Here is a 25,585-nt window from a genome sequence, read left to right as displayed (position 1 = left end):
GGGAGGGACCCAGTGGGAAGTAATTAATCATGCGGGCAGTTACCCTCATGCTGTTCTCATGATAGTGAGTGAGTTCTCACAAGGTCTGATGGTTTTTGTAAGGGGCTTTTCCCCCTTTGCTTGGCAGTTCTTGCTGCCACCATGTGAAGAAGGACGTGTTTGCTTCCCCTTTCACCATGACTGTAAGTTTCCTGAGGCCTCCTCAGCCCTGCAGAACTGTGAGTCAATGAAACCTCTTTCCTTCATTGATTACAGTCTCAGGTATGTCTTCATTGGCAGTGTGAGAACGGACTAATACACTTGCCAACCTAATGGAAGCTCACTCAGTTGGAGAGCTTCTTTCAGGCCTCAAGAAGTCTGGACACACTGGCCAACTCAGGGGTTTCATGTTCTGGAAAGTCCAGTTAACCCAAGCAGAACTTATGTGGTTTCATAAAGTGCTATGACTGGCATTAAGTAGGCTCTCAAAATTACTAGCTATTCTTATTTATACATATATATTCGTATAATCATTTTTGTTATATTTACTGAAAATTGATAATAGACTATGATATCATTACTCTTAAATGTTTATATTCATTTTTGTCTTATTATTATTGCTTAGCTTTGGCTTTTTGATTCAACAAATTTATTTTGTCAGTAATTCATATTCTCTAATTTGAATATAACAATTCTGGTTAATTTGAAGCTTTTCTTTGTTTTAAAAAACAGTTTTTCAAAAAATGATCATCACTAATCACCAGAAAAATGCATATCAAAACTACAATGAGGTACCATCTCATACCAATCAGAATAGCTTTTATTAAAAAGTCAAAACTGGTGAGGCTGAGGAGAAAAGGGAATGCTTGTATATTGTTGGTAGGAATGTAAGTCAGTTCAGCCATTGTGGAAAGCAGTTTGGAGATTTCTCAAAGAACTTGAAACACAGCTATCATTCAACCTAGCAATCTCATTACTGGGTATAAACCCAAAGGAACATAAATCATCTACCAAACACATGCACTCACATGCCCATCACAGCACCATTTACAATAATGAAGACATGGAATCAACCTACGTGCCCATAACAATGGATTGGATAAAGAAATTATCATACATATACACCATGGGATACTATGCAGCAATAAAAAAGAATGAAATTGTGTCCTTGCAGCAACACAGATGCAGCTGGAGGCCACTACCCTAAGTGATTTAATGCACAAACAGAAAGCCAAATACTCCATATTTTTACTTATAAGTGGGAACTAAACATTGCATACATATGGACATAAAGATGGGAACAACAGACTCTGGGAACTAGCAATGGGGAGAGGGAGAGGGGGCCAAGGGTTGAAAAACTATTGGGTATGATGCTCACTACCTGGGTGACAGTAGCAATTAAACTCCAAACCTTACCATCACATAATATACCCAGAGAAATACAAAAATCAGCCGGGCACTGTAGCAGGAGCCTGTAATTCCAGCTACTCAGGAGGCTGAGGCAGGAGAATCGCTTGAACCAGGGAGGCAGAGGTTGCAGTGAACCGAGATTATGCCACTGCACTCCAGCCTGGGCAAGAGAGTAAGACTCCATCTCAAAAAAACCAACCAACAAAAAACCCAGATAATAAACCTGCCCATGTACCCCTGAATCTAAAATAAAAGTTGAAATTAAAAAACAAGAACATTCACTGTTTATGTTTTGATCATATAAACACTATTCATCAATGAATACTTGTCTTAATTAAAAAAAATAAAACAAAAATGCAGCTTTTCACTTTTCTCCTAAAATGCTTAGTTTGTATGCAATTAAATACACTTCTGCATTTGATAAGAGCAGAAATTATTTAAATTATTATTAAACATTTTGCTATTGTGTTAAAATTGATTTTATTGTTTATTCTGAATACTTCTTTTTCTTCTTTTTTTTTTTTTAGACAGTCTTGCTCTGTCACCTAGGCTAGAGTCCTGCGGTGGTGCAATCTCAGCTCACTACAACCTCTGCCTCCTGGGTTCAACCGATTCTCATGCCTCAGTCTCCCAAGTAGCTGGGATTACAGGTGCCCACAACCACGCCCAGCTAATTTTTGTATTTTCAGTAGAGACAGGGTTTCACCATGTTGGCCAGGCTGGTCTTCAACTCCTGACCTCAGGTGATCACCCCGCCTCAGCCTCCCAAAGTGCTGGGATTACAGGCATTAGCCACCACACCCGGCTTATTCTGAATACTCCTATATAGGCAAAATCATTATTTACTCCAATTCTGGACCTATTATTTCCTTTAAAAATTGCCAGATTTACAAGAAAAATACTTATTTTATTAATATTATGGCCAGCAAGAGAAAAATAAATGAAACTCTAGAACAGAAATAAGATCCTACATTTACCGAGTGATTAACATATGCCAGTTAGTGTGCTAAGTGCTCATCTTAGATTGAACCCTCTCTCATTTTGGAGCAAACATGCAATATAGTATTATTATTTCCACTTACACTTTGGAAAACTGAGGCTTACAAAAAGATAACTTGCCTAAAGTCATATAACCAGTCTGCCTAACTTGAAAGTTCTTGGCTTTTTCCCCTTTTCCCCTAAACAAACAAGGTAGAACCCTGGGGCATGTCAACACTTAAGACATAATCAGAGAAAAAGAAGTCAACAAAGGAGACTGAGGAGTACGAAGGTAACAAAGTGGTGGGAGGAGACAGCAAGTGAAGATTTGGGAAGAGGGGAGATGACAGAAGATGAGGATGAGAAGTAGATTAGAATCAAATTGGCCATCTATGCCACGCTAAAGAATCTGGACATTGTCTTGTAGGCCATGGGCCTTTAAAAATAAGTCATGATTGACAGCACAGAGGACAGTTTTGGATAGGGAACTTTTAAAAAATTATTAATTTTTAAATTGATACATAATTATATGCATAGGGTATATGTGATATTTTGATACATGCATATGTGAAAATCAAATAGGGATATTTAGGACATCAATAACCTTAAACATTTGTCATTTCTTTGTATTAGGAACATTTCAAATCTTCTAGCTATTTTGAAATATACAATAAATTATTGTAAACTACAGTCATCCTATTGTGCAATTAAACACTACAACTCATTCCTTCTATCTAACTTTATGTTTGCATCCATTAACCACCCTCTCTTCATTCCCCATCTTCACCTTCCCAGGTTCTGGTGACTATTATTCTACTATTATTCTAGTAAGGTAAAGACTTTTGATAGGCTGATGAATTAAAGTTCACTTGCTAAATTAAAAAAAAATTCAGGCAATGTAGTATCTCATCTAAGTGTTATTTTTTAAGCCTTGTATTTCTAGTAATGAAATAAATGCCACTGTTCTTTACTAAACGATATTTTTCTTTTTTTGAGACAGAGTCTTGCTCTGTCACCTGGGCTGGAGTGCAGTGACACAATCTTGGCTCACTGCAACCTCTGCCTCCCAGGCTCAAGCAATTCTCTTGCCTCAGACTCCCAAGTAGCTGGGACTATATGTGCACACCACCACACCCGGATGATTTTTGTATTTTTAGTAGAGACAGGGTTTCATCATGTTGGTCAGGCAGGTCTCGAACTCCTGGCCTCAAGTTATCTGCCTGCCTTGACCTCCCAAAGTGCTGGGATTACAGGTGTGACCCACTGTGCCCAGCCTACTAAAGGATTTTTAATATCAACAAACAGACAAACATTTTGAAAGGCAAAGGAACCCTATAAATCATACTGTTTTTAATCTCTTCTATGAAAATAGCATACATCTTATAATTGCTGTTGATAAAGCCCATGCATGAAAAAATTGGTCTTGGCTGTTCATATTATTACTTCAATTGAGTTTTGAGTATGGCTAGTCCTTCATAGGCTGAGTACAATTGTCATTTAAGTATCTAAAAAGATCACAAGGGATTCGGCATTGAAACAGAAGAAAAACACAGAAACAGAGTTGTGCAATATAGGACAAAAATCACTGCCTAAAGTCTAAAAGAAAGTATGTCTAAAATGAAAAAAATTAAAGTAATAGCAAAGCATTGTATCACAGTTTAATCAGCAGCATCCTCCACTCTTCCTCACAGTGGTACACAAAACAGTGGGTTTTTTTTTTTTTTTTTTACATCATTGAAGTCTTAGAAATATGGTTGACCTTGAAATTTAATCAGATCTAGATTGTTTAGGGCCACATGGTAGGTATGTGAGTCTCCTCCTTTATAATGTTGAGGTGTGGTCCTGTGAGTTGTATGTGCCACAGACTCTTTCCAAGAGACTGAGCTCACTGGGGATGCTGGAAGAACACTCCTAGCAGTTGTTAGAGGCAGAAGAATGGGTCAGGCAACTCAAGGGGCAGAGATAAATGTTTTATTACTTCAAGTACTTACTTTATACCAATAAAGCTCATTTCATATTGCTAATCCATGACTAGTGGTATTTGTGTCCCCTTTGCATGACATATTTTCAGATTTTTTTCATTTTCTGTATGTTTAAACAGAAACACAATCCCATCCTCTCTGTATATGCTGGGTACATGCACACACACAAATATATTAAAACCCAAACAGAGAAACAGAAATTATTCTGCAATTTGTTTTTTGAAAAATCATCAATACAGTATAAATTTCTTTCAAAGTTAATACATATAGGTCTACTTTATTTTACCTATGCACCTTGACGCCTCTTTCAAATCTAGCAATGCCTTCTAGGTACAAAATTCCAGGTAGCTAAACCTTGCCATGTGGTTACTGATGACTGTGCATGTCCCACTTTCTAGACAAGCTTCCTGAAATTAAGTCAGTTGTAAAAGATAAATCTCTGCGTGCTTACAGTAGAAAATAAGGCCTTTGTGAATAAGGTTGGTTATGTTAGAAGTGAAAAACCATGTCTATTTTGTCATCAGTTGTTGAATATAGTGGGAAATTGATAAATATTTACTGAATAACTAGAAGGAGAGCATATATCAAGGTTTGAGGCAGCTAAGAAAGACCAATTCTTAGCTGCCTTACTGTTGGCAGTAATGTGGCACACTTTATGATTCTGGATTTTCTACTGTTTAACAAACTCCACACTGACACTTGACTCTTAACTAAACTTGGCAGTTTCTTGAGAATTAGTGGGTATACACAAATACACAAAAAAGAATAACTTGTTTTCTCTGTTATACTGGACCAACTAATAAAACAACGGTCGAAAGACATTGGACATCATGCAATGAAGGAGATCCCTGACACACAGGAAACAAACAAGGTAAACTCTATGACTGCCTTAGTTTATTGACTAGAGACAGCTTTCAAGCTGTGGTGCTGGGAAGGAGAATTAAGGCAGAGCCTGTCAAATTCCCTGAGTTAAGGAGCTGTTGATAGAAGTAATAACCAAGGTGGTTACAGTTCATATGGGAGACTACTGAAGAAAAGGGAGCTGCAAAGAGACAGAACTCTGACAATTTACAGATAGTGCCCCTTAAGTATTTACCTGGCACAGAACAGTGCATATGTATAAAGACAGGAGACAGAACTACAGACAAGATTGGTAGGAGCAATCTCTGAAGTGAACATGGGCAAGGCATAGTGCTTATTTCCATCAGCCAAAGTAGAAAACCTTACAATTTACAGGACATGGAATACTCAAAGAGTTTGGTTGTAGTAATGGGGGAGAAATTGGCCTTACGATAAACCCTTCTCTGCCTAAAAAAGCTTAAAAGCAAGATTTGGAAGAATCAAACTGTTTCCAAGAAACCTAACTATGTCCCAGAACAAAGCTAACAAAAACATATAGGAATACAAAATATATAGCATCAAGGTAAAATTTACAAGGTCTGGCATCCAGTAAATAATTACTACATATGCAAAGAAGCTGAACAATGTGATATATAATGAGAAAATTCAAATTTATTGAAGGCAGCCATGAAATGACAAAATAATAGAATTAGTAGGCAAGAATATAAAAAAGTTATTGAAATTATATTTCACATATTCCAGAAAATAAAGTTTGAGAATGTTAAGGAGAGACCTAAAAGACACAAAGAAGATCCAATTTGAACTTCTAGAAATGAAAACTACAATATCTGAGATAAAAACTGGATTGAACTGAAAGCAGATTATACAGTGGTGAAAAAAAGATTAGTGAACTGGAAGACACAGTAAAAGAAGCTATTCAAAAGAAAAGCAGAAAAAAGACTGAAAAAAACTGAAGAGAACATCATTTGTTCTGTTGTAGAATAACTTTAAGCAACCTAATATATATCTCATTGAAGTCCTCAAAGGAAGGTGAGAGGATTGAAGTATTTAAAAATTTAAGAAATTTATAAATTTGATAAACTCACATATGTAAGATGTTCAACAAAACCCAAGCATAGGAAACATGAAGAAAACTCCAGAAAGCCAAATGATAATCAAATTGCTTACAGCCAGTGACTAAAAATCTCTTAAAAGCAGCTAAAGAAATACACATTACCTAGAGAGGAACAAAGATAAGGATGACGGCAATATCTTGGCAGAAACGATGCAAACTAGAAGGGAGTGAAGCAGTATCTTTCAACTACTGAAAAAGAGAGAGAGGGAGAGAAAAGTCAACCTCAAATTCCTTACCCAGGGAAAATATCTTTCTAAAAAACAAAGGTGAACCCAGCAAATCCATTCCCAGGTATACACTTAAAAGAAATGAAAACAGGTACTCATACATTTGCTTGTATTTGCGTGTTCATAGCAGCGCTTTTTACAATAGTCAGAAGGTGGAAATAACCTAAATGTTCATCAAAGGATAAATGAATAAACAAATTAAGGTAAATATACACAACAGAATATTATTCGGCCATAAAAAGGGTTAAAGTACTGGATACATGCTACAATATGGATGAACATCAAAAACAGTATGCTCAGTGAAAGAAACCAGACACAAAACGTCACATATTGTATGATTCCATTTATATGAAACATATCCAGATGAAGTAAATCCACAGAAATAAAGTGATTTGGCAGTTGTCAGAGGGTGGGGGCAAAGAGGAGTGGGTATTAAGTGCTTAATGGGTACAAGGTTTTATTCTGGGGTGATGAACATGTTTTAGGACTAGATAGAGATAGTGATTGTACAACACTGTGAATGAATATTAAACGGTTTACTTTAAAATGGTTAATCTTATGTCATGTGAATTTCACCTCAATAAAAAACCCACAAAACCAAAGGTGAAGCACAAGACACCTAAGATAAAGTAGATTTTATCAAAATTAAAGACTTTTGTGCCTTGAAGGACACTAACAAGTGGAGGAAAGACAACCCACACAGAATGGGAGAAAATATTCGCAAATCATGTATTGGATAAAGGTCTAGTGTCCAGAATATATAAAGAACTCTTACAACTCAACAACAGAAAGACAACCCAATTCAAAAGTGGGCAAATGACTCGAACAGACATCTTTCTAAAGAAGATATATAAATGGCCAATAAGAACCCAAAATGATAGTTAACATTATTAACCTAATTAGAGAAATGCAAAGCAAAATCATTAGAAGATACTACTTTGTAATTGCCAGGATGGCTAGAGTTAAAAAAATGAAAAATAAGCATTGGTGAGGATGTGGAAAAATTGGAACCCCTGAAATGGCTGGTGGGAATGTAAAATGGCATAGTCACTACGAAAAACAGTTTTGCAGTTTCTTGAAAAGTGAATCATAGAATTACCATTTCATCTTGAATTCCACTTAACGAGAATTGAAAACAGGTGTTCAAACAAAAAATTTGAACATGAAATGTTCACAGCAGCACTATTCAAAACAGACAAAAATCCATTAACTGATGGATAAACAAAATGTAGTTAATCTGCAAAATGGAATATTATTCAGTCATAAAAAGGAACTGAGCACTGATAGATGGCAAAATACGAACCCTGAAAACATTATGCTAAGTGAAAGGAGCCAGACACAAAAGGCCAAATATTGCATGATTTCATTTATATAACATATCCAGAACAGGCAAATCCATAGAGAGAGAGAGAGCACATTATTGCTTGTGGGGGACTGAGGTGGAGGCGGGAATGGGGAGTCACTGCTTAATGGGTACAGGGTTTCCTTCCCAGGTGATGGAAATGCTCTTTTACTAGATAGTGGTGCTGTGTATGAAACACCATACACATACCATGAGCTACTAAATCGTATACTTTAAAATGGTTAAAATGGTAAATTTTGTTATCTGAATTTTACCACAATAAAAAAAGTAAACTCTTAAATGGCTACTTTCAGTTAATTTGGCCTTATTCCATATCTGTGAGAATTGCATTTTAACCTAGACTTTTGTCAAAAATAGTCAGAAATGTAAAAACAAAAAAACTAAAAATAGGCAAAATAGCAACTTTTTGCTATATACAGAAACAGAATTCATCACCATAGACCTGCTCTATAAAAATTGTTAAAGGAAGTGCATCAACCAGAAGGAATAGATAACAGTTTGAAATTTAGGCCTACAAAAAGGAATAAAGAGCACAAGGTATGGTAACTATTTAAATTTAACATATTTCCCTCATATTATTATATCTCTTTATAAGATTATCACTGTTTATTTCATTTCATTTATTTTTTTTTGAGATGGAGTTTCACTCTTTCGCCCAGGCTGGAGTGAAGTGGCGCGATCTCGGCTCACTGCAACCTCGAACCCCTAGGTTCAAGCTATTCTCCTGCCTCAGCCTCCCGAGTAGCTGGGATTACAGGTGCCTGCTACCACACTAAATTTTGTATTTTTAGTAGAGACAGGGTTTTGCCATGTTGGCCAGGCTGGTTTCAAACTACTGACCTCAGGTGATCCACCTGTCTCAGCCTCTCAAAGTGCTAGGATTACAGGCATGAGCCACTGTGCCCAGCCTGATTATCACTGTTTAAGTAATAATAGCAGTAATGTAGTATGGGAGTTTATATGTGTATAAATAAAATGTACGACAACAAGAACACAAAGGCTGGGGGAACAAATAGAAGAATACTGTTGTAAGGTTCTTATACCATATGTTTTACTAAATATCACTTGGAGCTACATGGTGATAAGTTAAAGATACATATACACTATAATCTAAATCAACCACTGAAATAACAAAGTTATAGCCAATAAGCAACAATAAGATAAAATGAAATAAAAAAATTCAATTAATCCAAAAGAAGACAAGAAAAATAAAGTGAATAAAAAGTAGATGGGCCAAACAGAAAACATTAGCAAGATGAAAAACTTGAACATAACCATATCAATAAATATACTAGATGTTAAGTGTTCTAAAAAAATCTCCAATTGAAAATCATATTTTGTCAGACGGGTTAAAAGAAGAAGGCTGGAAAAACATACACTTTGCTAATGCTAATGTTTTAGTAGTTTTCACTGTAAAAGTTTGACAATAAAAGATGTCAAACAGTTGACAGTTTTTAGTTATACAGTGAAAACTAAAAAATAATAGTATTAAGATAAATTAAAGAAGACGTAAATAAGGGTAAAGATACAGTATGTTCATGGGTCAGAATATTCAATATTAAGATGTCAATTTTCTCTGCTTCATCTATATATTCAACTTACGTAATGTCAACCAAAATCACAGCTAGTTTTTGAAAAAAAAATTAACAAACTGATGATAGAATTCATATAGAAATGCAAAAAAAACACCCAGCTAAACAACTTTGAAAATGAACAGCATTGGAGGACCAATACTATCTGATTTCCAGATATTATAAAGCTACAGCAATCAAGATAGTGTGGTATTGACATAAAGACAGATAACTGGAACAGAGAGTCGAGAACAGTCTCACACATAAATGATTGTTTCTCAACAAATGATGCTACAACAGTTGTGTTTCAATTATGCAAACATATCAATTTCAATCTATATCTTCCACTCAGTATAAAAATTAAACTAAAAATGAATCACAGACCTAAAACTATGAAACATCTAGAATTAAAAATAGACAAAACCCCTTATGACCCTAGGTTAGGCAAAGATATTTAAAATACAACACCAAAGCACAATCCATAAAAGAACAAAGTGATGAACTGTACTTGATAAAAGCATCTCTTCAAAAGACATTGTTGGCTGGGTGGGATGGCTCACACCTGCAATCCCAGCACTTTGGGAAGCCAAGGTGGGAAGATCACTTGAGCCCAGGAGTTCGAGACAACCTGAGCAACATAGTGAGACCTCATCTCTACAAAAAAATAAAAAAAATTAGCCAGGTGTGGTTGCAGGTAACTGCAGTCCTAGTATTTGGGAGGCTAAGGCTCCCAATAGTTTGAGGCTCTTGAGTCCAAGAGTTCGAGGCTGCAATGAGCTATGATTACACCACTGCGCTCCAACCTGGGCAACAGAGTGAGACTCTGTCTCTAAAAATAAATAATAAATAAATAAATAAATAAATAAAAAGACATCATTAAGAGGTGAAAAGATAAGCCACAGGGTGGGAAAAAATATTTGTAAATCATATATCTGATAAATGACTTGTATTTAGGATATATAAATAATACTCAAAACTCAAGAATAAGAGGACAAACAACCTGATAAAACAGACAAAAAATGTGAGGAGACACTTCTCCCAAGAAGATAAACAGAGGGCAAAGAAACTCAAATGAGAAGATCCTCAAAATCATTCGTCATTAGAGAAATGCAAATTAAAACCACACTAATATGCCACTACACACCCATTATAGTGGATAAAAAAACTAACCATATCAAGGCAAGGATGTAGAAAAATTGGAACTTTCATACATTATTGGTGGAAATGTAAAATGGTACAAACATCTGGGAAACAGTTTAGCAGTTTCTTAAGATGTCAAATAGACACCTACGATATGATCCGGCCAGTCTACTCCTAGATATTTACCCAAGAGAAATGAAAGCATACGTCCATACAAAGACTTGTATGTGAATGTTCATCTGAGCTTTATTCAGAAAACTGGAAATGACTCCAATGTCCATCAACAAGTGAATGGATAAACAAACTGTGGTACTTCCACACAACGAAATGTTACTCAGTAATGAAAAAAATGAACTACAAATAAATCTTGAAATAATTATGCAGAGTGAAAGGAGACATTAAAAAAAGCATATACATACTATATGATTCCTCTTATATAAAAGTCTAGGAAATACAAGCTAGGCTTGCTCACGCCTGTAATCCCAGCACTTTGAGAGGCTGAGACAGGTGGATCACAAGGTCAGGAGTTCGAGACCAGCCTGGCCAACATAGTGAAACCCCGCCTCTACTAAAAATACAAAAATTATCCGGGAATGGTGGCACATGGCTGTAGTCCCAGCTACTTGGGAGGCTGAGGCAGGAGAATTGCTTGAACCCAGGAGGCAGAGGTTGTGGTGAGCCAAGATTGCACAACTGCATTCCAGCCTGGGCAACAGAGTGAGGCTCTGTCTCAATAAACAAACAAACAAACAAACAGACAGACAAACAAACTAACTAACTAACTAACCTACAGTAACTGAAAGTAAATCAGTAATTGCTTAGGGACTGAGATGGGGAAGGTTGGGAGGCAAGAATTCCAAAGGGGCATATGGAAACTTTTGGGGAGATATATGTGTTTATTACCTTCATTTTGGTGATAGTTTCATAGGTATATTCATGTGCCAAATGTCAAACTGCACTATACCTTAAATATGTGCAATTTACTGTATATCAATTATACTTCAATAAAGCTGCTAAAAAGGGGAGTATTTGTTTTTATTTTGGGTATTACTTAGCATTGTCATTTTGTCAGTTCACTTATGTACAATCTCAGACATAATCTGAATAGTGTTTAACTCAATGGTAATTCTAACATTAGTTATCAGTATTTCATCTGTGTATTATCAAAAAGGCCAAACTGATTTAAATATTTAACCTGATCCAAAGAATAGAGATCCTGAACCAGCCTAGCCAACATGGTGAAACCTTATCTCTACTAAAAATACAAAAAATTAGCCCAGCGTGGTGGCGTGCACCTGTAATACCAGCTACTCGGGAGGCTGATGCAGGAGAATCACTTGAAACTGGGAGGCAGAGTTGCAGTGAGCCAAGAATGCACCACTGCACTCTAGCCTGGGCGAGAGAGCGAGACTCTGTCTCAAAAATAAATAAATAATAAAATAAAATAAAGAATAAAGATCCTGAGATAATTTCCATCTGTATTATTTCACCATCTATTATGAATAGTCTATTGTTATAACAGCAATCTAATACTAATCATTCATCTAGTTTATATAATTATTTTCAGTGTAAGCAATATAATTTTTGTAAAGCAGAAAAAAGTAAAGTCCATAGAATACTTTAAATATTTTATTTTCAATCTTAAGGGAAAAGTTATATACTGAAGTTGGCATAGATCCTTTAATATAGGGTTACTGATTCTTTCTCCAAATGTCTTATGAAATTTTTTCAAACATACACAAAAGTCCAGAACTCACTACTAAACCTATATGTAAACGTCATCCAACTTCAAACATTATTAACATTTTGTGATTCTTGTTTTATTTGTTAAGCCCTTCCTCCTTTTCTCATGAAATATTTTAAAGCAAATTCCAGGCACCATACCATTTCACATCATAAATATTTCAGCATTTAAGTCTTTTTCTCAATATAAGCCATAGCTTATTTAAAAATGGTTTCATACAAAGTTAATTATACTTAATTATAGGAGCATTTAACACTTAATTTCTTACATTTTCTCCCAACAATTTATAGACGTGTGTTCACATTTAGAAATTCTTTCTTTTTATTTTTGAGACTAGAGTTTCCCTCTGTTGCCCAGGCTGGAGTACGATGGCACGATCTCAGCTCACTGCAACCTCCGCCTCCCAGGCTCAAGTGATTCTCGTGCCTCAGCTTCCCAGGTAGCTGGGATTACAGGCATGTGCCATCATGCCCAGCTAATTTTTGTATTTTTAGTAGAGACAGGGTTCCACCATGTTGGCCAGGCTGGTCTTGAACTCTTGACCTCAAGTGATCCCCCTGCCTTGGCTTCCCAAAGTGCTGGGATTACAGGCATGAGCCAGTGCACCCGGCTTCTTTATTTTTAGAGATGGTGGATCTTGCTTTGTAGCCAAGGCTCAAACTCCTCAGCTCATGTGACTCTCCTGCCTTGGCCTCCGAAAGTGCTGGGATAATAGGCATGAGCCACTGCATCCAGCCCACATTTAGAAATTCTTATTTCAATTAACTGAAATGCTCAGGAAGGCATGTATTTTAATATTTTACTTTTAAAAAATATTTTTGAAAATTACTGTGAAATTAAAGGCAACATGAGGGATCTACAATATATTAGCAAACAGAGGTTTGTTTGTTTGTTTATTATCTTTTCTGCTTCCACCTAGCAGTGTGCTGGACTTGGCTTGCAGCAGCTTGTAGGAGTTCTCTATTATTTCATACAAAGACTTGTACATGAATGTTCATATGAGCTTTATTCCAAAAACTGGAAATGACTCCAATGTCCATCAACAAGTAAATGGATAAACAAACTGGTACATCCACACAAAGAAATTACTCAGCAATGAAAAGAATGAAGTACAAATGAATCCTGAAAATTTTTAGGAATTTTGTGGGCTGGCTATCAAACACAACTAGCATTAAAAACTAAACTAAATTATTTAAATTTATAGTAAAATACATTTTATTAAAAACAAAGGTAAAAACAATCAAATTTGTCAATTTAAAATTATTTTACTATTATCTGTGCTCTTGAGTTTACCTATGTCTGTTGTATCTGTATGGTGCAAACATTAAGTACTGGTATGCTGCTGACAATCTTTACTCCATCTTCAGTAACCTTAGGTTGGTAGTTTGAAGTCAGCCATGGTGGGAGTATTTATAAAAGAGATACAAGCCAATGTTACAAATCAAGCTCTCCCTCATATCCCTCTTGGAAAGCTGGCTGTTAACATTTACCAACACACCACTGTGTCAACCCCAAGCATTAACTATGTGTCAGGAACTGCAATAAAATGAAGTATTTCTGGTCTTTCGAAATTTGAGGATAAAGATCCTCCTAATGTTATAGTATGAAAAGACACTCTAAAGAATATAAACAGATCCTTAAGAAAACAAATAATAAACAACATATATTAATGTTATTTAATGTATGACTTGAAAAAACCCTTTGTTATAAGAGAAATAGTTTTTAAAACTTTTAAAATATTAACTTCTTGGCTGGGTGCAGTGGCACATCTCCAATCCCAGTACTTTCAGAGGCCCTAGGCAGGTGGATCGCTTGAGCCCAGAAGTTCTAGACTAGCCTGGGCAACATGGTGAAACCCTGTCTCTACCAAAAAAATACAAAAATTAGCCAGGCACAGTAGTGCGTAGCTACAGTTCCAGCTACTTGGGAGGCTGAGGAGGGAGGAGTCCTTGACCCTGGGAGGCAGAGGTTGCAATGAACTGTGATCATGCCACTGCACTCCAGTCTGGGCGATAAAGCCAGACCCTGTCTCAGAAAAAAAAAAAAAAAAAAAGAAAGAAACAAAGAAAAAAACGGAAAAACTTCTTATGTTGACACTCAGGAATATTAAATAAATAAATAAAAGGAACATTAGCAAAGTAGTACCTCCGGTTTAAATTGTTTTATGACTCGCATTTCAAAAGTACAGAAAAATAAAATTAGATCTTGACATCAGAAGATGATTAAAAATGCTATGTAAAATGCATACATATATATATATATATATATATATACGTAGTTTAAATGACATAAGGCTAAGAAAAAGAAGCAATATGAGCCTGATTTTCTAAGTGTAAACAAAGTTAAATTTAACAGAGGAGTGATTTCTCATTAAACACAGAGGTAAAAACCAAATCTATCTTAAAAATGATTAGTAAAAAACTTAAAATGTCACCAAAGTTTGCCAAACCTGTTTTACCAGTTGATATTCTCAGAAATCAAAGCTCTGTCTGTCTAGTCTGCATTTATACTTAGTCTGGGCATTTAATCTCCCTTTTGTTCTCAGTTTTGCCATACACTGTAAGTTGTTTTTTATGGCCTTAACATTCAGTTAGTTTCATAAATTGTGAAATCATTTTGTACTAGCAAACAGCTTATTTTAAAACTGCTTAGAAAAATAAAAGAGTTACAAACAATTAAAATGAATACTGTGATTCTTCATATGGGTTTCTTTAAGTTATTTACCTCTTGTGAAAGCTGTGTTACTTGGTCCTTTCGATGTTCCAGATCTTTTAAAATCAGCGAGTTTTGTTTTTCTAATTGAAGCACTCTTCTTGCCAAGTGAACACTAGGCAAATGAAATAAGAAAATTAATGCTTAAAAGTGAAATACTGCCCAAAATATTCAAAATGTGTTTGTGTACTTGAAAATAGACATCATTTCCTAATTATACTTAAATATTAACAGAAAAAATATAGAGTCAAATAATATTTTCAGGCACCAGTAGTGGAAGACCAATACCCCACAACTCAGAATTATGAGAGTAACAACATTAAAACATAACCGTGATAGACTGATTACTGCAGTAACGGTTTTTAGCCCTTGCTATAAAAGTGGAGAGGTAACATTATAACACTTGCTTGAAAAGACCACAATACAGCAATTTACAGCTTGTCTCCACTTTTATAAATATTTTCCAATTACAAATCAGAAAATTAGTTGAAATATTACAAACAATAATTAGCTTATCACTTTGAGAAGTATCAGAGTTTACTTTAAACAACATAATGCATGTTATAATATAAAACAAAAATGAGGTTTTTAATTGAAAGTGGAGATGAAAAAGATATATAAAACTTAGAGAATGTCTATAGTAAAGGCTAAGCTTCTGTACTAAAAGAAAAAAATCACTCCCTCTGATGCTCTGCATTACCATAACTTATTGCACTGACCTTTAGTATTTAAAATTACATATGAAACATCTCAATTCTACTTTTAAGAAACAATTTTAAGAATAAAATCTATTCCTTCTAACTATGGTGGGAGGAAGTGGTATATTTCTTTAAAGAACTGCTAATAATTTTGAGAAGACATATTGCTCCAAAGAACCTCTCTGCATTTCCAGTAACTTAACATTTTCATATTTATCATATTTTCATATTTTATACTAGTTAACCTATTAATCTGTGAATTGCAGAATCCATGGAATCCTAGATGGAATGTTTTATAATGACAAAAAGTAAGATAACTGTGCTTTAAATAAAATCATAGGGCAGAAAAAATTCTATTGTATTTTAATATTTCCCAATATCAGATAAAGAAATGCAGACAACATTCTAAAAAATAATGTTAAGGCCAGGCGCGGTGGCTCATGCCTGCAACCCCAGCACTCTGGGAGGCTGAGGCAGGAGGATCACTTGAGGCCAGGAATTCAAGACCAGTATGGGCAACAGGGTGAGACCCTGCCTCTGCAAAAAATACAAAAATTAGCTGGGCATGATGGTGCATGCCTGTGGTTCCAGCTACTTGGGAGGCTGAGATGGGGGGATCACGTGAGCCCAGGAGTTCGAGGTTACAGTGAGCTAGGATTGTGCCACTGCAATCCAGCCTGGGGTGACACAGAGACCCTGTCTCTAAAAATAATAATAATAATAAATAGTGTTAAATATCATTCTATATATCTATTTCTAAGAACTCATACCAAATAAAAAAGATGAGTTCTGGCAAAAGTTTATAAAGTGATTTGAGTTGCTTGTTTAGATCTAAAATTCTTTCAACTGGCATTAGAGATGGAAAAAGCATACAGTCCTCATTTTTTGACAACCACTTTTTTTTTAAACTTTACTGACATACAATTTTACTGATATGCAACTTAAATATCATAAAGTCCACCAATTTAAAGTGTACAATTCAATGATTTTTAGTATATTTAGAGTTGTGCCACTATCACTATAATCTAATTTTAGAGCATTTTCATTATCTCAAGAAGAATTTCTGTGTCCATTACCAGTCACTCTCCATCCTCCCCACATTCCAACTTCCTCCTTTGCTCCTCAAATTCAACCTTAGGGAACCATTAATCTTTCTCTCTTTATAAATTTTTAAGGAGTTTACAGTTTATGACTATATTGTTCTTCATTTCCCAATAAAAATATACTAAGTTCTCTCTAATTTGACCCTAAAATAACAAGATTTCTACAAATAAAATAAGCCTTAATGTGAATTTTGCATTTAAAATCCGTTGATTCCATTATACGTTTGCAAGCATCAGTTTATCATTAGCTCTATTTTTATTAGGTTAATTAAAAAATCTTGGAGCTATCTTTATTCACATTTTTATTCTTGCTTTCTTACTCTTCATACATGTTAGGTGTTAACTTTTTTTTATCTTTTTGTGTCCCACAGAACTTCACACTAGGGTCACTTAAACATGGTAATTTTTCAATAAATATGTTGAAGGTGTAGAACAAGTATGTGTATACTCAGTATAGAACAATAAACACAATCAAATGCAATTACACAGAACTAGAGTTACAAATGAATGAAATGGAAGACAAAGACATGCAAGAAAATGAGATGCAGAGGTCACATATTACCAACAATCTGAACAAGATAATGACTTGAAGACATCAAGTTTAATAATGTTAAATTGTTCATTTGGTTTGAGTGCTTTTATTTTGTTTGGGAATTCTATAATGTTCTTATACAGATAGGGTGATACCGCTTACCAATAAAAATATCATAAGTCATAAAACACTGACTCAAGAAATTCTTGCCGGGTGAGGTGGCTCACGCCTATAATCCCAGCACTTTGGGAGACTGAGGCAGGCAGATCACCTGAGGTCAGGAGTTCAAGACCAGCCTGGCCAACATGGTGAAACCCTGTCTCTACTAAAAATACAAAAATTAGCTGGGCGTGGTGGCAGGCGCCTGTAATCCCAGCAACTGAGGAGGCTGAGGCAGGAGAATCGCTTGAACCTGGGAGGCGGAGGTTGCAATGAGCTGAGATGGTGCCATCACACTCCAGCCTGGGGGACAAGAGCAAGACTTCATCTCAAAAAAAAGAAATTCTTGGTATGCTAGTGCTTAAGCCTTAACACCAGGACTACTTTCTTCAAAAAGGAATTTCCCTGATTTTGACTGGGAGATTCCAAGTAAGGAAAATCAACTCTAAATAGAAGGAAAGTATCTAAGGTATCTTCAAATTGCTTACAAATATACTCTACAGTGCTTTGATTACTAGTTTATAGTACAATTTTACTGAGAAAAACTTTCTGAGAATTGATGGTGACGGGAAGGACCGTGAGTATTAGTATGACTGTTGATGTCATTTATGATGCATAATGATAATAATGTAGAAGACAACATGGTACAATTGGTCTCCAGTATATATGGGGTTCACATTTTAAAAACTCACCTCTAAGTCAGTTGTAAGAACAGTAAAACACATTTCCTCATATATATATGTATATATATATATATATATGTATATATATGTATATATATGTATATATATGTGTGTGTATATATATATGTATATATATATATATGTGTATATATATATATACACACATATATTAGAAATGGTATTAAAGTTCTCAGTTGCCCTAAAAGACCCATTTAGCCCACTAATGTAGTACAAACACACATACACAGAAAAGAACAAAAGATAATATAAAATCTTTCATTAAAAGATTATACTCAGATTTATTAAGATTGTATTATTAAGGATATAAGAGATTATATTAAGATTTAATGAAAAGAAATATAAAGATATATTTAAGCAAAAGAACACAGCAGAAACAAGAAATATAACTGTTTTTCATCATTATAATACTTACAGTAAAACAAAAACAGTAAAAAAAAATTAGGCCAAGGCAGGCAGATCACTTGAGGCCAGGAGTTTGAGACCAGCCTGGCCAACATGGCAAAACCCCACCTCTACTAAAAACACGAAAATTATCTGGGTGTGGTGGCACACATCTTTTTTTTATTTTAATTTTTATTTTTGAGTTGGAGTCTTGCTCTGTCACCAGGCTGGAGTGCAGTGACGCGATCTCGGCTCACTGCAAGTTCCGCCTCCCGGGTTCGCGCCATTCTCCTGTCTCAGCCTCCTCAGTAGCTGGGACCACAGGTGCCCGCCACTAGGCCCGGCTAATTTTTTGTACTTTTAGTAGAGACAGGGTTTCACCATGTTAGCCAGATGGTCTCGATCTCCTGACCTCGTGATCCGCCCACCTCGGCCTCCCATAGTGCTGGGATTACAGGCGTGAGCCACCACGCCCGGACAGTGGCACACATCTTTAATCCCAGCTACTTGGAACGCTGAGGCACAACAATCTATTGAACCCGGGAGGCAGAGGTTGCAGTAAGCAGTGAGCCAAGATCGTGCCACTGCACTACAGCCTAGGCAACTGAGTGAGACTCTGTTTCAAAAAAAAAAAAAAAGGAAATTACTATTTTTTCTTGGTGATGAATATCAATGACTGCAGAAAAGCAGGGTGAATTAGAAGAAACACACTCATTAATTCATTCGAAAAATATTCATGAACACTTCCTTTGAAGAAACATGTATTAAAAACCTATAATCTGCATAGGCACTGAGAATACATAATATCTACTGGGAAGATCTAATAGTCTACTGAGGAAGACAGGCAAATTTAAAAATTACTGTAGTATGCTAAATGCTAAGAAAAGGCATACCACTAAGGAATAAAAACTATACTAACTAATCTGGTGAAGAAGCAGAGAAACAGCATTTTAGGTAGAGGGAAATGCCTATGTAGAGGATGAAGTGCTAGGGAAAATTCTAAGTAGTAGAGTATAGATCAATAATATATGGTGCATGGTGAGGGTTGAAGCTAGAGAGATATAGGCAGAGATATTTTATGAAAAGCCTTGTATGTTTGGATTTTATCCTGAAGTTGGTTAGACATAACACGATCTGGCCCGCACTTTAGAAAGAGTGCTCTATCAGTAGTGTGCAGGATGGCCTGCAGAAGGAAGAAGACTACAGTCATTTAGAAGGTTATGATCATAATCTAGACCAGTGGTCTTTAAAAGTAGTTATGTGCAAAATTATTTCTTGAACTGTGGGAACTTTTACTTACATTTATTTTAATGTTAAATTATCTTAAGTTTTCATTTGCTGTGTAGGTTTTATATCATTATGTGCATACTATTCATATGATAGCACATGCGTACATAATCTATAAATAAATATGAATACATATGCATATATTGCTGAGTGTGTACTCAAATTTTTTCCCAATAAAAATTCGTATCAAAAAGTTTGGAGACCACTGGTCTAGGTCAGCTTTGTCCAATGGAAATATAATGCAAGCCACATATGCAATTTAAAATTTTCTAGTAGCCACATTAATAAACAGTACAAAGCCCTTACCTCATATGATACCAAAAAATTAATTAGAATGGATCAAAGACCTAAATACAGAAGCTAAAACTATAAACTTTTAGAAGAAAACATATGAGTAAATCCTCACAAAATTAGATTTAGCAAAAGATTCTCAGGGCAGCAAAAGCATAAGTAACAAAAAAAATTGGATAAACTGGACTGCATCAAAATTTTAAAATTCTGGGCTTCAAAATGCACCATTAAGAAAGTAAAAAGATTTTAACCATTTCAGTTTTGTCATGAAAAAGAAAAACAGGGCCGGGTGCGGTGGCTCATGCCTATAATCCCAGCACTTTGGGAGGCTGAGGTGGGCAGATCACTTGAGGTCAGGAGTTCGAGACCAGCCTGGCCAACATGGTGAAACCCCGTCTCTCCTAAAAATACAAAAATTAGCTGGGTGTGGTGGCAGGCGCCTGTAATCCCAGCTACTTAGGAGGCTGAGGCAGGAGAATCACTTGAACCCGGGAGGCGGAGCTTGCAGTGAGCTGAGATTCCACCACTGCACTCCAGCCTGGGCAACAGAGACTCCGTCTCAAAAAAAAAAAAAAAAAAAAAGAGAGAGAAAGAAAAAAGGAAAAAAACAGTGAAAAGACAATCTGCAGAATGGAAGAAAAAATTTCTTATCACATATCAGTTAAGAGACTTGAATCCAGAAAATATAAAAACCTGTTACAGTTCAACAATAAATACCTGGTACAAAGGAGGTACTTAGAAATTATCTATTGAATGAATGAATTCCTGTTCATTCATATCTCCTGTTTCTTCATAACCCAACCAATACTGAGCATTGTCAATCTTTGGAAGTTTTGCTAACCTTATAGATAAACATAAAATCCTGTTTTAAATTAAATTTATTTGTGAGATTAAGCATTGTTTCATGTTTGTCAGACATCTGTATTTCTTACATAGTGAACTGATGTCTATATCCTGTTCCCACTCACTTTCAAATCTGACCTTCATGGTTAGTTTTACTCTATCTCTAAATTATTTAAAAATATCAAGACCCTCTATAATCTCACTGGAACTAACCTTATTTGCCCTTCATGTCTACTCTACTTAACGTCTCACAAATATGTTTTCTGTATTCCTTCCACTGCCTTTTCTTGGTCCTCCAGTCTGAAGATTTTCTTTAAAGGCTCCCGTCGAGTTCCACTTCCTCCATTTTTGACTGTGCCAGCCTTCACAGATCTCTATTCCTCTGACTGACATAGCCTAACCCAACATATGATATAGTACTAAAGTTTATATATTCTTTCATGTATGTTAATCATTTCTCCCTAAACAGATGCAACTCATAAAATGACAGGAGTCTTATCCCCTGTGGTATCTAACTGTAGAGCTTATCAGAGTAGGTACTTAATAAATCTTCTTTTTTTTTTTTCTGGCAGGGTCTCACTCTATTGCCCAGGCCAGGAAGTGCAATGGTGCAAACATGGCTACTGCAGTCTTGACCTCCTGCGCTCAAGTGACCCAGCTCATCCTCCCACATAGCTGGGACCACAGGTGCATTAGGGTGATTGGCTCATTTTTAAAATTTTTGTAGAGGCTGTGTTTCACATTGTTACCCAGGCTAGTCTCAAACTCCTGGGCTCAGGTGATCCTTCCACCTCAGCCTCCTACAGTGCTGGGATTATAGGCGTGAGACATGTGCATAGCGATAAGTACCTCTGGACTGATCTTGTTGTAAGTGCATTTTGTTCAAATGAACACACTGTTAGAAACCATACTCCGAAGTTGCAGCACCTCAACATTAAGGTACACCTATTGCCAATAATGGGCAATTAAAGAAAAAAAATAAAGTACAACTAATGCTCAGTATTAAGCATTGAACTAGCAATTAAAAAGTGCACAAAGAAGAAGGCAAATGTCTTAGATACCAATTCACCACTTCTATATTCAACCTCCTAAAACTTTAAGTGGGCATATTGCTTTGGTGAGTGATTTGGTGCTATAGGTGGATCCTCTTTAGAAGTCTGGGATCTTACAAGTGGGAAGAAAGAAGAGTGTTTAAATGAAATTCAAAACAAGACAAATGAAGAACTGCTCAACTACAGCTGAGTTTATGCCTCCTTAACACAATAAACATACAATGAAAACAAGTCCTAAGATCTTTATTTAAAAAAATTTTTTTTTGAGTTAGAGTTTCGCTCTTGTCGCCCAAGCTGGAGTGCAATGGCGTGACCTGGGCTGACTGCAACCTCTGCCTCCCAGGTTCAAGCAATTCTCCTGCCTCAGTCTCTGGAACAGCTGGGATTACAGGCGCCCACCACTATGCCAACTAATTTTTGTCTTTTTAGTAGAGGTGGGGTTTTGCCATGTTGGCCAGGCTAGTCTCGAACTCCTGACCTCAGGTGATTCACCTGCCTCAGCATCCCAAAGTGCTGGGATTATAGGCGTGAGCCACCGTGCCTGGCCCTGCTAAGATCTTCAAGAAGAATAACTATAAACATGGTCAGGAAAAATGACTCTTGCTAAATGTTATTTTTGGTGTAGAATGTACTGAATTTCTCAAGAAAGCAATGCTTTTTATAAGCTATCTATTGGGACACTTAAATAGATACAATACTTCTTTGTAATTAATACATTAATTGCTTAAATGATTTTCACTTATACCAAGATTAAGTTTGATATCAGCTAGAAACTACCACCACCAGTATATTGGTTGTACACCTAAATATTAAACCAAAATTTCACCTGTTACTTGGTCAAATTAGTATTCCTCCAAGGGTTATCTTTTAGCTCTCTTAGCACTTCTTGATGCCAAATACAGGTTATTGGTTTTGGCTCTGTCCATGGCAGTCTGTATTTCTGATTACTACATACAATTTCCTAACATTTTTAGCCTAGCAAATGTGGACATGACAGAGTTTTGTTTATATCTGAGATATCAAAGCACAATGGAGGATTGACGCTCTGTTCTGGGTTCTTCAGTATTGGTACGGTGTCTTACTATTACCAAAACTCGAAATGAGCAAGAATATGTGAGGCATGCTTATTAGCTATATTAGTTATTTGATCTTTCTCAGTTTTCAGTAGATCAGAGTCCTGTCTCTACTAGCATGGCATCAAAGATGGTTGCAAAGAAGGGGACATGTGCCAGAAGGATCCCACTTTCAAAAAGCTTAAGGCTGGTCCTTATACTATCTACTCAGCTGGAAATGACTAAGGACTAAACAGTGATCTCATGCTGATTATCTGTAGTTACATGAGACTGTCGCTAGTTTCTTCTATAGGCTTACACTTCCAAATTTATCATGAATAGAAAAGCAGCAACTTTTTAAAGAACTATTCCTAAAGCCATCCCAAATGAAATGAGTACAAGTTTCCCCAAGGACAAAAATGAGAACTCATATATATGAGAATAAAGGAAAGGAAAACATGTTTGTCATACACAAAATTTTGCTAGTTTCCTCTGCTTTATTTTTTTTTATTATGAAGTTCAGTAAACTGAAAGTTTTAACTTAAAGCTTTTTATAAAACGAGAGAAACTATAGTACGCAGTAATCTCACAATTTGAAAGGTTTAAGAACGTCAGAACAGTCTCCACATTCAGATTAGCCAAAACAAACACAGAGGCATATACAAAGACCATGTTAGTGCCTGGGTGTCACCATTTAGTGTGGCAGGTTAAAGGGCTTAACCAAAACATGTAACTAGAAAATCATGTTTGCTATTTTCAAAACAATCACAACTGAAAGGAAAACATTACTTCAGATTTTCAAGTTTAGTCAAGGAGAGCCCATTTTATTTTAATCTACTTTAATTGTATAAGCCCTTGTAACTTTCTATAATTGTGTCCCAGAAAGAGTTTTAAAAAATAGGCTGGGTGTGGTGACTCATGCCTATAATTCCAGGACTTTGGGAGGCTGAGGTGGGATGATTGCTTGAGGCCAGGAGCTCCAGACCAGCCTGGGCAACACAGCAAGACCCTGTCTCTACAAAAAAATAAAAAATAAAAAAATTAGCCAGGTACAGCGTGCATGCCTAGCTACTCAGGAAGATAGAAAGGAGGATCACTTCAGCCCAGGAGTTTGAGATGAGAGTGAACTATGATGGTGCCACTGCATTCCGACCTGAGTAACAGAGTGAGACTCTTAAAAATGGACTGATACTAAAGAAAGTTTCATGTTTGGGGGGTATCCCTGCTAATTATTTCAAGAGGCTTCTGTATAATTTTAAAACAATATCGTCTTAAATGAAAACTCAAATTGTGCCTAGTAAAAGATTTCAGAACCCTGGCTTTTCCTCTAAAATTAACTATGTAATTTACTTTAAGAACAAACACATCAAGGTGTAACGACCTAGCACTTACTAAAGATCTACTCTATGTCAGGAACTTCACATCCATTTTCTCATTTTAATTTTGTGGTATTGCCTGGGTTGCAATAGGCAACTAATGATATTTTTCAGTAACTATACAATTAAGTAATGAAAATATAGCACTCAAAAATGGAAGTACTAAAAATTAACGTTTTGGATAACCATTAAAAATGACCTTTCTGAAGAATATCCAATGACATAAGAAAATGTTTACAATGGAATTCTATGACAATAAATTAAACTATTAAATTACAAGCAATAATATCTTAAATAAGAAAGTATATATATATATCTGTATACATTTCCGAGTGGTTATTTTGGATGGTAGGATTACCAGTAATTTTCCAATTTTATGAAATAAACATGGCTTGGTGTGGTGGCTCATGCCTGTAATCCTTGTAGTTTGGGAGGCCGTGGTGGGCAGATTGCCTGAGCTTAGGAGTTTGAGATCACTCGAGACCAGCCTGGACAATATGGTGAAACCCTGTCTCTACTAAAATACAAACAATTAGCCAGGCGTGGTGGCATGCACCTGTAGTCCCAGCTACTTGGGAGGCTGAGGCAGGAGAATTGCTTGAACCTGAGAGGCAGAGGTTATAGTGAGCCGAGATCATGCCACTGCACTCCAGCCTGGGTGACAGAGTGAGTGAGACTCCAACTCCAAAAAATAAAAATAAAAATAAAATAAAATAAACATTACTGTTATAACAAATCAGAAATCTCCTTCCAATTAAATGCTACCCTAAAATATCTAATTCTGGTTGTTGAACATATAAGATTTTAAATCAAATTTAATATGAATGGAATCTATTGTGTAGTAGTTGGAAAATAGGTTCCTTTGAAACTTTAATATATTTTGGTATAGGCTGATGTACAATGAAAACTTTATTTTGCATATAGTTCATTTACTGTTTTGACTGAGTTGTTTTATCATTCGCCTTAAGTTTCCACTGATTTTTTTTTTCTTTTCTTTTTTTGAGAGATGGGAGTCTCTCTATGTTG

At 35.8% G+C, this 25,585-nt stretch overlaps 1 protein-coding gene across 13 annotated transcripts in view, besides 1 other annotated feature; it reads right to left on the bottom strand.

The window, feature by feature from the left end:
• Positions 1 to 25,585, bottom strand: part of PIBF1 (progesterone immunomodulatory binding factor 1) — a 234,329-nt gene that overhangs the window by 70,101 nt on the left and 138,643 nt on the right. For 9 of the 13 annotated variants that reach the window (NR_146205.2, NR_146206.2, NM_001349655.2 and 6 more), the window contains one exon: positions 15,094 to 15,196. Coding sequence is in view for 11 of the 13 variants with exons in the window: in NM_001349655.2 (NP_001336584.1) it covers positions 15,094 to 15,196 (103 nt within the window). In the remaining 2 variants the exon portion in view is untranslated. Of the gene's footprint in view, positions 1 to 4,323; positions 6,514 to 13,662; positions 13,741 to 15,093; positions 15,197 to 25,585 lie in introns of those variants that run through there. The other 4 variants (XM_047430046.1, XM_047430048.1, XM_011534884.4 and 1 more) reach the window with 2 other exon arrangements.
• Positions 11,056 to 11,250: a silencer, noted in NCBI's record as "fragment chr13:73509249-73509443 (GRCh37/hg19 assembly coordinates)". NCBI's record gives its function as "represses an EF-1alpha promoter that drives an FKBP-Casp9 reporter gene in an ReSE screen in K562 erythroleukemia cells {active_cell/tissue: K562}" and the evidence as "EXISTENCE:reporter gene assay evidence [ECO:0000049][PMID:32094911]".

Source organism: Homo sapiens, chromosome 13, assembly GCF_000001405.40.
Source record: "Homo sapiens chromosome 13, GRCh38.p14 Primary Assembly".
In the NCBI taxonomy this organism is placed as follows: Eukaryota; Metazoa; Chordata; class Mammalia; order Primates; family Hominidae; genus Homo; species Homo sapiens.
The sequence above is the reverse complement of the archived record's forward strand: the minus strand, read 5'-3'. Positions and strand labels throughout refer to the sequence as shown.